Source organism: Homo sapiens, chromosome 16, assembly GCF_000001405.40.
Source record: "Homo sapiens chromosome 16, GRCh38.p14 Primary Assembly".
Taxonomy (NCBI): Eukaryota; Metazoa; Chordata; class Mammalia; order Primates; family Hominidae; genus Homo; species Homo sapiens.
This window is the reverse complement of record NC_000016.10, coordinates 25,216,535-25,231,756: the sequence shown is the minus strand read 5'-3', so window position 1 is coordinate 25,231,756 and position 15,222 is coordinate 25,216,535. Positions and strand designations below refer to the sequence as shown.

The 15,222-nt window shown below is 50.2% G+C and overlaps 1 protein-coding gene across 3 annotated transcripts; it reads right to left on the bottom strand.

Annotated features, from left to right (window-relative positions):
• Nucleotides 1–2,824: 2,824 nt before the first annotated feature.
• On the bottom strand, nt 2,825–14,810 carry AQP8 (aquaporin 8). 3 transcript variants are annotated; one of them, XM_011545822.3, is made up of 6 exons: nt 14,700–14,810; nt 14,312–14,562; nt 10,174–10,300; nt 7,181–7,395; nt 4,555–4,689; nt 2,825–3,313 (listed from the first exon to the last, which is right to left on the bottom strand). In XM_011545822.3, exons 1-6 carry the CDS (start codon nt 14,709–14,711, stop codon nt 3,265–3,267), a joined length of 789 nt encoding a protein of 262 aa, XP_011544124.1. In that variant the 5' UTR covers nt 14,712–14,810; the 3' UTR covers nt 2,825–3,264. The 3 variants fall into 3 exon arrangements, with proteins under 3 accessions (XP_011544124.1, NP_001160.2, XP_011544125.1); NM_001169.3 differs by having other exon boundaries at nt 14,312–14,559; XM_011545823.3 differs by lacking the exons at nt 7,181–7,395; nt 10,174–10,300.
• Nucleotides 14,811–15,222: the final 412 nt, after the last annotated feature.

The window sequence follows — 15,222 nt, the reverse complement described above, 5'->3', positions numbered from 1 at the left end:
CTCCTGAGTAGCTGGGACTACAGGCACGCGCCACCATGGCTCTGTCCCCTTTTTAATGAGGAACTAATAGGCAAGTAGGAGACTAGGCAGAGGACATAATATTGTCGTTTATTCAGAAACAGAAACGTATGATGACAAAGATCATGGACCCTGCAGCCAGATATACCTGACCTTCTACAGTTGCCCACCAGTGCACTAACCATGCAGCTTAGCATTAACACCATCCTTTAGAACCTCCACTGGCTCCTCTGCAGAATGAGAATAATGAGAGAATCTATCTATTCGTTTCCTGGAACTGCTCGAACAAACACCGCAGACTTGTGGCTTAAGATGACAGAAACTATTCTCTCTCCGTTCTGGAGGCCAGAAAGTCTGAAATTAGAATGTCAGCAGAGCCAGGCTTCCCACGAAGGTTCTAGAGGAGAACCTTCCTTCCCTCCCCCTGCTCCTGGCGGCTCCTGGTGCTGTCTTTTGGCAGTATAACCCTAACCTCTGCTTCCATCTTCACGTGGCCTTCTCCTTTGTGTCTCTGCGCCTCTTTTACTATCTCTTACAAGAAAAGGGCACCCTAATCCAGTGGGATTTCGTCTTGACCCGTACCTTAATTGCATCTTCAAAGACCCTATTTCCGAATAACGTCACACTCTAAGACTGTAGACTGACACAGATTTCGGGAGGACACTATTCAACCCACTGTACTATCTCATAGGATTGTCGTAGGGAGTAAACGACATAATACGTGTAAAGCATTCAGCACAGTGCCTAACATGTAATAAACTCTCCATAAATGTTAGCTATATACATATAAGTATATATATGTATGGATGTATATCTTTTGTTATTTACTAGATTAATCAAAGATTTATTTCATTATTTCACCAAACAAAATAGTAACTTTTAATATTTTTTACTCTTCTTTTACTTTATTTTGTGGCAGGGTCTTACTCTGTTGCCCAGGCTGGAGTGCAGTGGCATGGTCTTGGCTCACTGCAACCTCTACCTCCCGGTTTCAAGCAATTCTCCTGCCTCAGCCTACCAAGTAGCTGGGATTACAGGCACCCGCCACTATGCCTGGCTAATTTTTGTATTTTTAGTAGAGAAGGGGTTTCACCATGCTGGCCATGCTGGTCTTGAACTCCTGACCTCAAGTGATCCTCCCACCTCAGTCTCCCAAGGTGCTAGGATTACATGTGTGAGCCAGAGCGCCTGGCCTTTTTTTTTTTTTTTTTTTTTTTTTGAGACAGGATCTCACTCTGTTGCCCAGGCTGGAGTGCATTGGTGCTGTCATAGCTCACTGCAGCCCCAACCTCCCAGGCTCAAGCGATCCTCCCACCTCAGCCTCCCAAGTAGAGGAGACTACAAGCATGTGCCACCTGCCCAGCTAATTTTTTTATTTTTTGTAGTTACAGGGTCTTGCCATGTTGCCTGGATGGTCTCGAACTCCTGGCCTGAAGCAATCCTCCGCCTTGGCCTTTCAAAGTACTGGGATTACAGGCGTGAAACACCATGGCTGACCCATTTTGAACTCTGTAAATGTCCTAATTTGCTTGTTTCTGATTGTATCATATTTTTTCCTCCCCTTTTCTATTCTGTCGGGTTGTCATCGTTATTCTTGTTTGTTATTCTCCTTTTCCCTGAGAATGGTTTGGATGTGTGGCTATATCGTGAATCTATTTCCTCCATGGACAATCTCTTATTGTAGTGGTGATTTTCTTCATTTTTGCTCAAGTGAGCATTTTGCTCATCTTGTTGAAGTGGGTGAGTTTTCGGTTGTTGTTGAGAGTGGTTTCTCCCTGGCCCTTCTTTCTGGTGTTATAATGATCATCTTCCATAAATGACCCATCGATTCTTATGGAGAAGACACATACTCTACTTCGAAGGGGTGACTTCCAGGGTGTGTCTTTCCGTCCTTTCTTATCTGTTATACTCCTATCTTCCACCCAAGTGCCACTGGTTCTTCAGGCCTGTACTGTGTCACTTGTTCAGGATTCTATTATGTTAGCACAAAAGTAATTGCAGTTTTTGCCATTGAAAGTAATGGGCTGGCTGGGCAACTGGCTGGGCACTGTGGCTCACGCCTGTAATCCCAGCACTTTGGGAGGCCGGGGTGGGTGGATCACTTGAGGTCAGGAGTCCAAGACTAGCCTGACCAACATGGTGAAACTCCGTCTCTGCTAAAAATACAAAAATTAGCTGGGCATGGTGGCATATGCCTGTAATCCCAGCTACTTGGGAGGCTGAGGCAGGAGAAGTGCTTGAACCTGGGAGGCAGAGGTTGAAGTGAGCTGAGATCATGCCACTGCACTCCAGCCTGGGTGACAGAGCAAGACTCTGTCTCAAAAAAAAAAATTTTTTTTGCACCAACCTAATATTTCCTCAGGAAATTCTTGCAGCCCATCCCAATCCCACCCACCCCCCCACCTCCCCACCTAGAGTGAATGAATGGGCTGACCCATGTCCTGGACAGCACCAAGCACTCGAGTAGGGACAGCACTGGGCACTCAGCCAGACCCTGGACTCTGCCTGGGGGTTTTCAGCAGGGTCCTGAGGTCTGTGATCTGGAATTGACTCTGACTAGACTCCAAGTTGGACTCAATATGCACTCTGAGCTCCAGACAGAGCTCCAGGATGGGCCCGTCCAAGTGGAGACAGGCTCTGGTCTGGCCTCAACTTCAAGAGCCTGCCATGGCCCAGGACTCTGAGCTGGGCTGTGGGATCAGCTCAGGCCTAACCCCAGCCAAGGCCTAACCCCAGACTTTTTTTTTTGCTTGCTTTCTCCTCAGCAGTGCCCATTTCTCAAATGAAAGGCAAGCCAGTGAGCACGTGGAAGGAAACACTGGACTATTTATTGCAAAGTGAGAATTGTCAGCTTGAGAAGCAAGGAAGTGGCCAGGCCCCCAACAAAGCAATCAAGCAAGAAATGGGGTGCGGGAAATGAGCTGATGTGCAGAAACAGCCTCCTTGTCCAACTCGGGGACATTCCTCTCAAGAAACACGCTCGTGTTGTGGTGTTTGCACTGCTCTCTGGGCAGTGCGGGCAGCGTGTTCCCCAGGCTGGGGTCTCTGATGAGCACAAAGGAATTCCAAGAACCTAGAGCCTCCTCAGCAGTCAGTCTATCTGAGAAAGCAGGCCCAAGCAGTGGAAGCAGGGGGTCGCTCCTCTGGGCCTCTGCCCTGGCAGGAAATGCAGGAACTCCCCTGTCCTCAGTCTGGGACAGGTGAGCTGAGGACACCTGGAGCAGCAGGAATCCCACGAGCTCTGCTTCACCGAGCCTTCAGGATGAGGCGGGTCTTCCCATCTCCAATGAAGCACCTGCAAGAAAGATGACCCAGTAAGGTCTCTGCCCCGGAGGTGAGACCCAGCCCTTCGTCATGTCTCCAGGCTCAGAAGTCTCCAGAAAGATGACTTCCTGAGCCTCCCCAGCCTTAATAGCCAGATCCCCTTGCAGAGAGAGAGACAGTTTCCTGCTTGGTTTCTTTTTTTTTTTTTAATTGAGACAGAGTCTCACTCACCCAGGCTGGAGTACAGTAGCATGATCTCAGCTCACTGCAGCTTCCACCTCCTGGGTTCAAGCAATTCTCATACTTCAGCCTCCCGAGTAGCTGGGACTACAGACAAGCACCACCACACCTGGCTGATTTTTGTATTTTTAGTAGAGACAGGGTTTTAACCATGTTGGCCAGGCTGGTCTCCAACTCCTGACTTCAAGTGATCCACCCACCTTGGCCTCCCAAACTGCTGGGATTACAGGCGTGAACCACATGCCCGGGTCCTGCTTGGTTTCTAACCCTTTTCCTGAAGATGCTCATTGCTGCCACTCTGAAAGCCCAGAATTAAATGAAGCCGGGTGCAGTGGCTCACGCCTGTAACCCAGCGCTTTGGGAGGCAGATCACTTGAGGTCAGGAGTTGGAGACCAGCCTGGCCAACATGGTGAAGCCCCATCTCTACCAAAAAAATCACAAAAACTGGCTGGGCGCGGTGGCTCATGCCTATAATCCTAGCACTTTGGGAGGCCCAGGCAGGTGGATCACATGAGGTCAGGAGTTCGAGACCAGCCTGGTCAACACGGTGAAAACCCGACTCTACTAAAAATATAAAAATTAGCTGGGCGTGGTGGCGGCGCCTGTAGTCCCAGCTGCTTGGCAGGCTGAGGCAGGAGAATCTCTTGAACCCGGGGGCGGAGGTTGCAATAAGCCAGAATCACACCACTGCACTCCAGCCTGGGCAACAGAGGGAAACTGTCAAAAAAAGAAAAGGAGAAAGACCAAGTCCTAAAGACATTGTTTGAGCGCCACCTGAAACCACTGCTACCTGTGAAGTTTTTGATGATGTGAGCCAATGAATTCCTCTTTATGACATAAGCTATTTTGAAATAGATCTCTGTCACTTGCAACCAAAGCTCCTAGATGGAGCCATTTTCTTTGCCTCTAAAGAGGCTCCCTCTTTTCTCTTCCAAACCCAAGTGAGAGCCTAGCCCTCTAGTCCCGGACTCTCTGGGAGATGTTGCCAAGTGCCCATCCAATGGGCCGGTGACCCTGTGTCACACTCCTACCTAATGAGCAGTCCAACAAGCAGGCCAGCCAGGAGTGGGCCCAGCCAGTAGATCCAGTGGAAGTTCCAGTGGTTGGCCACCACCGCAGGTCCAAAAGCACGGGCGGGATTCATGCAGCCTCCAGACACAGGGCCCCTGCAAACACCCAGGCACCAAGGTCACCAGGATCCCAGCCAAACCCCACCTCACCTCACACTCATGTCCCCAACTAGGCCTAGTCACACACCACCCAGAAACCCTCTCTAAACTCCTACATCATGAGCTCCTGGGTAGATCCTAAAGAAGGCAGAGGGGCTATTAGCACCAGGAAGCAGAAGGCATGGCTCCCCGCTGGGCGTGCAGTCCAGCACTCCCCACACACTCCTCTAGAATGCCCAGCAAAAATGCCTACTGGGTGATGGCAGGAAGAGAAGCTGGAGCTACATTTGCTCCAAAGTCTACAAAGGAAAGTCAATCAGTTTCAATCCTTTTGGAGTCAAGCTGACCTAGATTCAAAACCCAGCCCACACATTATAAAATAACAAAAAGTGTATCATAGGATTGTTCGTGACCCAAAGAATAAATGCTTGAGGGGATGAATACCCCGTTTACTTTGACGTGATTATTACACATTGCATACCTGTATCAAAACATCTCATGTAACCTCAGCCAGACACAGAGGCTCATGCCTGAAATCCCAGCAGTTTAGGAGGCCAAGGCAGGCAGATCACTTGAGGTCAGGAGTTAGAGACCAGCCTGGCCAACATGGTGAAACCCTGTCTGTATTAAAAATACAAAGTTAGCTGGGAATAGTGGCACACGCCTGTAGTCCCAGCTACTGGGGAGGCTAAGCCAGGAGAATTGCTTGAACCTGGGGGTTGGAAGTTGCAGTGAGCCATGATCATGCCACTGCACTCCAGCCTGGGTGACAGAGCAAGACTCTGTCTCAAAAACTAAAACTAAAAATAAAATAAAATAACGAAGAGTATAAGTGGATTGTTTGTGACACAAAAAATAAATGCTTGAGGGGATGAATACCCCATTCACCTTGATGTGATAATTATGCATTGCATGCCTGTACCAAAACATCTCATGTAACCCAGAAATATATACACCTACTAGGTTCACCCACAAAGCTTTAAAAATATACATATAAAGAAAGAAAAACCCCAGCCCAGATAGTTCTAGGTGTGGGAACCTCCATGAACCTCTCTGTGTTCAGGTGAGGTGAAAGTGACTATCCCATAGGTTGTCATCAGGAGTGAATGAGAAAATGCAAATGGAGCCCACACCTCGAATATAATTAATGTACAAAAAGCATTAACTAATCTAGCTGGTCCAGATGAGGCCCTTGTTGCACCACAAGCTTAAGACCCAGAATCCTACAGGGAGACTCTTCCCCAGGTGCACTCCTCTCGTTCTGGGGCTCTGTCTTTACCCCATTCTCTCCAGCTGGGGGCCTGTAGACCTCATCCCCACCCTGTGTCCAGCTTCGAAGTCAAAAAGCTTGTAAGTAGGCGGGGCGCGGTGGCTCAGCCTGTAATCCCAGCACTTTGGGAGGCCAAGGCGGGCGGATCATGAGATCAGGAAATCGAGACCATCCTGCCTAATACGGTGAAACCCCGTCTCTACCAAAAATACAAAAAAAAATTAGCCGGGCGTGGTGGCGGACGCCTGTAGTCCCAGATACTCGTGAGGCTGAGGCAGGACAATGGCGTGAACCCGGGAAGCGGAGCTAAAAAAAAAAAAAAGGGCTTGTAAGTGAATCAAAGACCACTAGGGGGCAGCAAAGCATGGCCACAGCTTTACACACACATTCCCCAGCCTGCCCCAGGCTCCACCTCCCAAAGTTGAGGGAGAGCTGACCCAGGAGAAAGGTTAGACTTGGTTCTGTGTCCAAAAGAAAGGAAAGAGTCAGACATTAGGGAGGGGCTCCCTGGGCTGGGCACTGTGGCTCATGCCTGTAATTCCAGTACTTTTGAGAGGCCAACGCAGGAGGATGGCTTGAAGCCAGGAGTTCAAGACCAGCCTGGGCAACAGAGCGTGACCCCTATCTCTACAACAAAAATTAAAAGGGTTCACTCAGCCTCTTGTCCCAAATCTATCACTTAATTTGCCACTGCCCACTGACCTTAAATAAGTCACTTCTGTCCTCTCTAAGCCTCAGTTTCCTTATCTATAAAACGGGAGACATCATCCCCAATCTTGTCTACTTAATCCCTTCCAAAGCCTGCTGGGAGTCTAAAAATAAATGAGACAACAGCTACACATGCTCTTTGTAAGCCTGAGGCTAAAACCCGGCTGCCCGCTGACCGAATGAACACAGTTCACAGAAATGTTGTATTTACGCTACCAACATTGGAAAACATCACATACAGATTTAAATTTCTGACTTCCTTTGAATGAAAGCATCAGCCCAGACCCATGTACCCAGCAATAATTGACAAGAGCTGAACTGACTGCAGCACCTCTGACACTGCAGTCCCCACCACTCCCTGTTGTCTGCCTGATGCCAGCCCCCCTCCCCATTTGCAGCACCTTCCTGGCCCCTAATAGCAACTGAATCTGTGACCCTCAGGCCTGAAATCCCCCAGAGCTGAACAGCACAGATCTGGGCATGGTCACCCCACTGCCAAGGGACACTCACCCAGCCAGGATATCCACGGTGACGGCAAAGCCGATGGAGAACGGGGCCAGAGGGCCCTTTGTCTTCTCATTGATGGCACCCATGCATACAGCCAGGGCCAGCAGCGTCGTCAGGATGATCTCTGCCACCAACGCCCCTGCCACCTGCCCCTGCTCCTGGACTGTCACAAAGGCCGCCCCAGATGCATTCCAGAACCTCTCCTCAGGACTCACCGCCTGCACAGAGAAGCTGCTGAGCCTCACAGTGGGGCAGAGAGACAGCTGGAAACTGAGGGGAGAGGGCCTAAAAAACGCATGCTACCCACCTTAAGAGCCAGTGAAGGGTTATGTCCAATTTCAGTTAGATATACCTGCATCCACATCCCAGCTCTGCCAGATTTTACTGTGCGACCCTGCGTGAACTACTGAACCTTTCTGAGCCTCACTTTGTTCAGCTGAAAAATAGTAATGGGGCTAGGCGTGGTGGCTCACGCCAGCAACCCCAGCACTTTGGGAGGCTGAGATGGGTGGGTCACTAGAGCCCAGGAGTTTGAGACCAGCCTTGCCAACATGGTGAAACCCCATCTCCACTACAAATACAAAAATTAGCGGGGTGAAGTGGCAGGCACCTGTAATCCCAGCTGCTCAGGAGGCTGAGGCACCAGAATCACTTGAACTCTGGAAGCAGAGGTTGCAGTGAGCTGAGATCACACCACTGCACTCCAGCTTGAACAACAGAGCAAGACTCCGTCTCAAAAAAAAAAAAAAGAAAAAGAAAAAGAAAAATGGGGATAACCCAGTCATGGCTCCAGGTTACAGACCTAAAACTTATGTAACTTAGATGATCCTCTTTGAGAAAAAGAACATAAACTATCTTTTTATTTTTCTTTGACACAGAGTCTAGCTCTGTCACCCAGGCTGGAGTGCAGTGACACGATCATAGCTCACTGCAGCCTGGACCTCCTGGGCTCCAGTGTTCCTCCTACCTCAGCCTCTCATGTAGCTGGGACCACAGGTACATACCAACCATGCCCACCTAATGTTTTTTTTAAAATTTTTTGTAGAGATGGAAGGTCTTACTATGTTGCCCAGGCTGGTCTGGAACTCCTAGGCTCCAGTGATCCTCCCGCCTCTGCCTCCCAAAATGCTGGGATTACAGGCACCAGCCGCCATGCGTGGCTAAAAATACCTTACTCTTAGAAACTTTACAAACACATATGATCAGGTGAACTCATTGCTAAGCCCCCACAGGACCGTGGAAGGGGCATGTGCAGGAGAGCCCTGAAGCCTGAGCTCAATTATTTCTATGGGCGATCGGCCTCAGGGCTATCACAGCCCCGAAGGGGAAAGACAGTGCAGTGCACAAGCTTCTGGACTCTGGATCCAGTCGGGGCTGTGCTGCTTACAGGCACGTCTGAACTTGAGCAAGTTACCTGCTTCTCTGCACCTCTGTTTTCTCATCTATAAAATAGGGATGATACTGACAGCTCCCAGCTCACAGACAAGGCCGTTGGTGTGCCTGGCACAAGGTAAGCGCTCTCTATGAACTGACTATGGTTTTTCATAAAGTTGCTGGGAGATGAAATAAGAGAATATGTGTAAAACATTTAGCAGGAAGAATGTGCTTAGGGAACCCTGCTGCCCCGCAGCTGTCAGAACCATGTTTGACAGGTTTTAAGTGGCAGGGCTTGAGCTCGAGTCTGGCCACTGCTTTTCAGAGCAGAAGCCGAGAAGGAAGGTCCCGGGCGTGTTCCATAGACAGGGGAACAGGCTGTGGCTCTCAAATTGGGACATGGAGAGACCACAGCAGGGGATGACAGTAAAGTGAGGCTTGAGAACAAAGTCTGCGGTGGGTCAGCACTTACAGCTTCAGACCCTATCACAGCCAAGCTGACAGAGCTCCCCCATCCACCACCCCCCACACACACACCAAGCAAGGCCCACATCTTGAAGGGCTTGAAGTATCCCTGGCTGAACCAAGACTTAAGGGCAAAAGAAAAGAAAGAAAGAGAGGGAAAAAAAAGAAAAAGAGGGATGAAGGGAGAAAGTCTATCCATGGATTTATGCATAAAGCTATGAAAACTCTGTGGCTGGCCAGGCTCGGTGGCTCATGTCTGTAATCCCAGCACTTTGGGAGGCCAAGGCAGGAAGATCACTTGAGGCCAGGAGTTGGAGGCCAATGTGGTCAACACAGCGAGAGCCCACCTCTACAGAAAAAAATTTTTTTTAATTTATTTATTTTTTATTGATAATTCTTGGGTGTTTCTCACAGAGGGGGATTTGGCAGGGTCATAGGACAATAGTGGAGGGAAGGTCAGCAGATAAACAAGTGAACAAAGGTCTCTGGTTTTCCTAGGCAGAGGAAATTAGTTGGGTGTGGTGACACACACCTGTAGTCCCAGCTACTCAAGAGGCTGAGGCAGGAGGATCACTTGAGCCCAGGAGGTCGAGCCTGCAGTGAGCTATGATTGCACCACCACACTCCAGCCTGGACAACAGAGTGAGACCCTATCTCTAAAATAAAAAAGAGAGGCCGGGCACAGTGGCTCATGCCTGTAACCCCAGCACTTTGGGAGACCAAGGCAGGTAGATCACTTGAGCTCAGTAGTTCAAGACCAGCCTGGCCAACATGATGAAACCCCGTCTCTACTAAAAATACAAAAATTAGCTGGGCATGGTGGCATGCGCCTGTAATCCCAGTTACTCAGGAGGCTGAGGTGGGAGAATTGCTTGAGCCCAGGAGGCAGAGGTTGCAGTGAGCCAAGATCAGGCCACTGCACTCCAGCCTGGGTGACAGAGCAAGACTCCATCTCAAAAAAACAAACAAATAAAAAATACAATAAAATGCAATAAGAAAGAAAGAGAGAAGAAAAACGTCCACCAATTCCACTGGCAGAAACAAGCAAAAGATTGGACATTTCCCCACTCCCCACTGTCCCACACACACACCCACATATGCACCTCCAGCAGCCCCATCAGAGAGGAAGACTAGCCCAGCCCCTGGGGTTTACCCACCTTGGCCAAGGCAGCCCCGAGCATCCCCCCGAGCAGCTGTGAGACCCAGTACGGGAGGAGCATCACCAGGTTGAGGCCTCCGATCAGCATGGCTGCCAGGGACACCGCAGGGTTGAAGTGTCCACCACTGTAACCCACAAGAGCAGAGGAAGTCATGAGCCCAGGGCTGACCACATGGCTGGCACTTGAGACAGTGTGTCCCAGCCAACCCACCAGGCTGGCCTCTCAGGGCAAGAGTCAGTCCGGGGCCCAGCTCAAATACAAAGAGGCACCAAATTGCTTCCATTTTCCCTGAGATGCCAGGCAGAGGGTAAGAGATAAAGGGCAGCCTCTAAGTCCAAAGCCCAGCCCCCAGGATGGCCCTGGAGGAAGAGCGTGTAGGGAGACCATCCCTTAACTCCTCCCTGACTCCCTCCAAGCCTCCCTCCAGCCCTTCAGAGATGTGGCCACAGGTCAGATTGAGATACCAAGGCTCCAAGTTAGTAGCCCAAGAGCGGTATCCAGGCCTCCCCTTATGATTTGTTTGATTTTACGAGACGGAGTCTTGCTCTGTCGCGCGGGCTGCAGTGCAATGGTGTGATCTCGGCTCACTGCAGCTTCCACCTTTTGAGTTCAAGCAATTCTTCTGACTCAGCCTCCTAAGTAGCTGGAACTACAGGTGTGTGCCACCACGCCTGGCTTATTTTTGTATTTTTAGTAGAGACGAGGTTTCACCATGTTGGTCAGGCTGGTCTCAAACTCCTGACCTCAAGCGATCCACCCACGTCGGCCTCCCAAAGTGCTGGGGTTACAGGCACGAGCTACCGTGCCCGGCCCGGGTCTCCCTTTATGAGTAGCTAGGCCCTGAATAAGACCTCCTGATTGGTTGAACTGCTCAGCCAGTGAAAACCCTACTTGTGGTCTGAAAGTGTGATGGGTGTAAAATGCAGATTTGGAGTTCAGGCTGAAAATGGCATTGAGAATCACGGGGTGGAGTTGGAGGTTCATGACCAGGTTAGGGATTGGGATTGGGAGTTTGGGGTGTGGAAGGGAATTAGACAAGTCAGAACCTGAGGTCAAAGGGCAGGTTGCAGTTGATCAGCCACCCCCTGGCTCATGGGTAAAGAGCCTTCGTGTTCACCAAGATGTTCAACCAGCCCAGGCCCCAGAGCCAGGGTGGCTGCACTCACATCAGTGTCCCAACCAGTCCCACTCTGATGGAGGAAATATTGTCACAGTTTGGCCTCCTGAATCCATCTGGTTTCCAGGAATGGATACTCCCCAATGAGAGAGAAAGGGACCCCAAGACTCCCCATGTCACTTGAGAACCAAAGTGCCCCCCTAATGTAAAGAGCCCACCAATGAGCTTACCCATCCTCCAAAGGACATAGGACATTCAGTTGAGACTGGGCAGAGGACCTCAGCTCTGCCCAAAAGGACTTTGTCCAACACCCTGATAGCTCGAGACCAGCTACCCCAACTTGTCTGGCTCAGCTCTGGGCCCAGGCCCTCAGATAAGCTCCATGCACGGTTTGATTTGATTTGTTTTTTGTTTTTTGTTTTTTTTTTTGAGACAGGGTCTCCCTTTGTCACCCAGGCTGGAGTGCAATGGTGCAATCTCGGCTCACTGCAACCTCCGCCTCCTGGTTTCAAGCGATTCTTCTGCTTCAGCCTCCCAAGTAGATGGGATAACGGGGCTGCCACCACGCCCGGCTAATTTTTGTATTTTTGGTAGAGACGGGGTTTCACCATGTTGGCCAGGTTGGTCTCGAACTCCTGACCTCAGGTGATTCACCTGCCTCGGCCTCCCAAAGTGCTGGGATTACAGGCGTGAGCCACTGCGCCTGACCTCCATGCATGGTTTGAAAGCACCAGCCAGTGCTCAGACTCCACAGGTTGGGAAGAGGGGCAGCCAGGCCTACTTGGCCTCAAGTAGCTTAGCCTGGGCTCTGCTGAGATACACAGATGAAGTCAGGGTGAGGCGGCTTCCCAGGGGAGCCCCAAAGGGGAGAGAAACTGTCACCCAGAGCATGGCTCTATCAGGAGGGCCAGGTGACGAAAACCACACATTTCCTGGTTTACACTCATTAGCAATAAAACAATCAAGACACATTCATTCATTCATTCATTGTTCACTCAGCATATATTTCTCTGACACTTACTGTGTGCCAGGGGCTGTGCTGGGTGCTTATAACTTACATACATAGCTTATCCTGGATCCAGTGAACAACCTCAAAGTCAGTGTCTGGCACGCAATAGGTGCTGAATAAATATTTGTCAAAAAAGCCAAACAGAGAGGCAGTATTTGCAGTGCCAAAGAGATGGTCTTTCCAGCCAGCTGGCCTGGGTTCAAAGCTCAACTCTGCCACTGAAGAGCTGTGTGGCATTGGCAAAGTTACATAACCTCTCTGTGCCTCAATGATCTCTGCCTGATAAAGCTATTGCAAAGATATTAAGAATTAATATTTGTACAGCCCATAGTAGTATCTATGTAGTTAGCATTCAAAAAACATCAGCTATTATTATTACTCATATTTATACCACTGCACACAGAGGCTTCAGCAACTTGCTGTGGTCACCCTGCTAAGAAGTGATAAAGGTTGCCTTCAATCTCAGATCCGTCCAAAGGGAAGATCATGTACTTTTTGTTTCACTTGCAGCCTCCCTTGGACGTCTAAAGAGATGTGGTTTGTTTTTTGTTTGTTTGTTTGTTTGTTTGTTTTTTGGAGATGGAGTCTCACTCTGTTGCCCAGGCTGGAGTGCAGTGGCACAATCTCGGCTCACTGCAACCTCTCCCTCCCAGTTCAAGCAATTCTCCTGCCTCAGCCTCCGAAGTAGCTGGGACCACAGGTGCCTGCCCCCACGCCCAGCTAATTTTTGTATCTTTAGTAGAGACAGGGTTTCACCCTGTTGGCCAGGCTGCTCTCCAACTCCTGACCTCAGGTGATCCACCCGCCTCAGCCTCCCAAAGTGCTGGGATTACAGGCGTGAGCCACTGCACCCGGCCTAAAGAGATGTTAAAGCTCTTTTCCATTCTGGTTTTCTCAGAAATAGTATTTCTGTTTCCTCATTCAGATCTATTTTTTGAGTGAGATTTAATACAGACCAACCATGTCCCAGATCACCCTGCCAGGCACCCCACTCAAGATCTTCGTCGTGATGGCTGGCTCTCCTGGGAACCAGCAGCCATGTCCACAGACCTCCCCATTGAGCCTCTACCCAGACGAGAGCTAAGCCAGAGAAGCCTGTCCCTTTCCCTGCCCCTCCTTCTTGATCACCTCTTGACAAGCCAGGACCACTGCAGATCTCTGCATACCCAGGTGGGAAAACCTGGCTCAGGTCTTCTATGCATTTCTGCTTTCCCTAAAACCCCCTTCTAGTGGTAACAATAACACAGCAACCAATGCCTGTTGTATGTTTGGTGTGTGCCAGGCGCTCTACTTCATTTAATTCTCATGACTTCCGCATGAGGCACTTGGATTTGAGCGCTGGAGCCAGACAGCTTGTTCTTGACTCCCGCCTCTGCCACTTTCTGGCCCTCTAAGCTTGGACAGATTACATGGCCTTTCACTTTTGCAGCTGTACAATGGGGCTAATAACAGGACCTACCCCACAAGGCTTTTGTGAGGATTAAATAACTAATATCTATAAAGTAATTAGACTAGTGCCTGGTACATGGTTAGCAATATAGATATGTTGGCTTGAAAAAAAAAACATTTAAAAGCTACTATTCCCATTTTATAGGCGGGGAACTTTGGGTTTAGAGAGTAACTTGCCAGCCAGGCATGGTGTCTCATGCCTGTAATCCCAAAACTTTGGGAAGCCAAGGCAGGAGGATCGCTTGAGACCAGGAGTTCAAGACTAGCCTGGGCAACATAGTGAGACCCCATCTCTACAACAAAATTTAAAAATTAGTTGGGTGCTGCGGCGCATGCCTGTGATCCAGCTACTCAAAAAGAGAATGACTTGCTCAAAGTCACAAGCTCACAGGCTGCGGGGTCTGGAGTTGACCCCAGTCTGACTCCCAACCCCATAGTTATCCAGAGCGCTCCTTGAAATCCCGAATACGTATGCGCCCAGGGGTCCTTGACAACGCCTTTGCTTTCCACACCCAGTGCCCCAAGTCAGCATCAGGCTGAATCCTCAGAGCTGGTCTCACCTGATATTCCCCAGCGTGGCAATCACGAGCCCCAAAGCCAGCCCGTGGGCCAGGGCCGGCTGCAGCAGCCCAGTGTCCGTCCCATTCTCAATGACCGACAGGCACCCGATGAAGATGAAGAGAGCAGAGCCCAGCAGTTCGACCAGACATGGCTGCACAAACCGTTCGTACCAGGACACTCGCCACCTGCCACCCACGCTCGGCTCCCTGGCCTTGTCATTGCCAAATTCAGGCTCACACATGGCTATCTGCCGTAGGGAAAAAGGGACAGAGGACACGGGTGGGAGGCAAGTCCAGATATAGAAGGCCCCGACCCCCAACCTTGAATTAATTCACAGCCCCCCTTGCTCTGCCAGCCTGGAGAGGAAGATGCCGACAGAGGGCTCACCTCTCCAGACATCAGGATCAGATGGCACAAACATCGGACTCTTGCCTGAGCTGCTGGGAAACCTGCACCTGCTGTGCAAGATACTCTTATCTCCTAGGGACAGGACCTGCTGATCACACTATGGGCTCTGCCCCTTTTAAAGGGCTGCAGAGGCTCAATGCTGGTGCAGAGAAAGCAATAAACCTCAGGTAGGAGGCGGCTCTGAGGCCCAGAAGAGGAAATTTTTTTAAATCTCAACAGGGCAGGGTGAGGGAGTCAGGGATTGCTGAACTTTCCGCCAGTGAGGGAAAAACACGCCAGCTTGGCTGTGTCATCTGGGAGCACACTCCAGGCTGTAGAAGGTGGGAGATGGGTCCAGCACCCCAGCTCCCCACGGTCCAAAGCAGAACAGCACATGTTAGTGGGCCCCACTGGGTTGGAACCTCACATGTTAAGAAACAGCAAACAGCCAGGTGCAGTGGCTCACGCCTGTAATCCCAGCACTTTGGGAGGCCGAGGCAGGTGGATCACGAGGTCAGGAGAT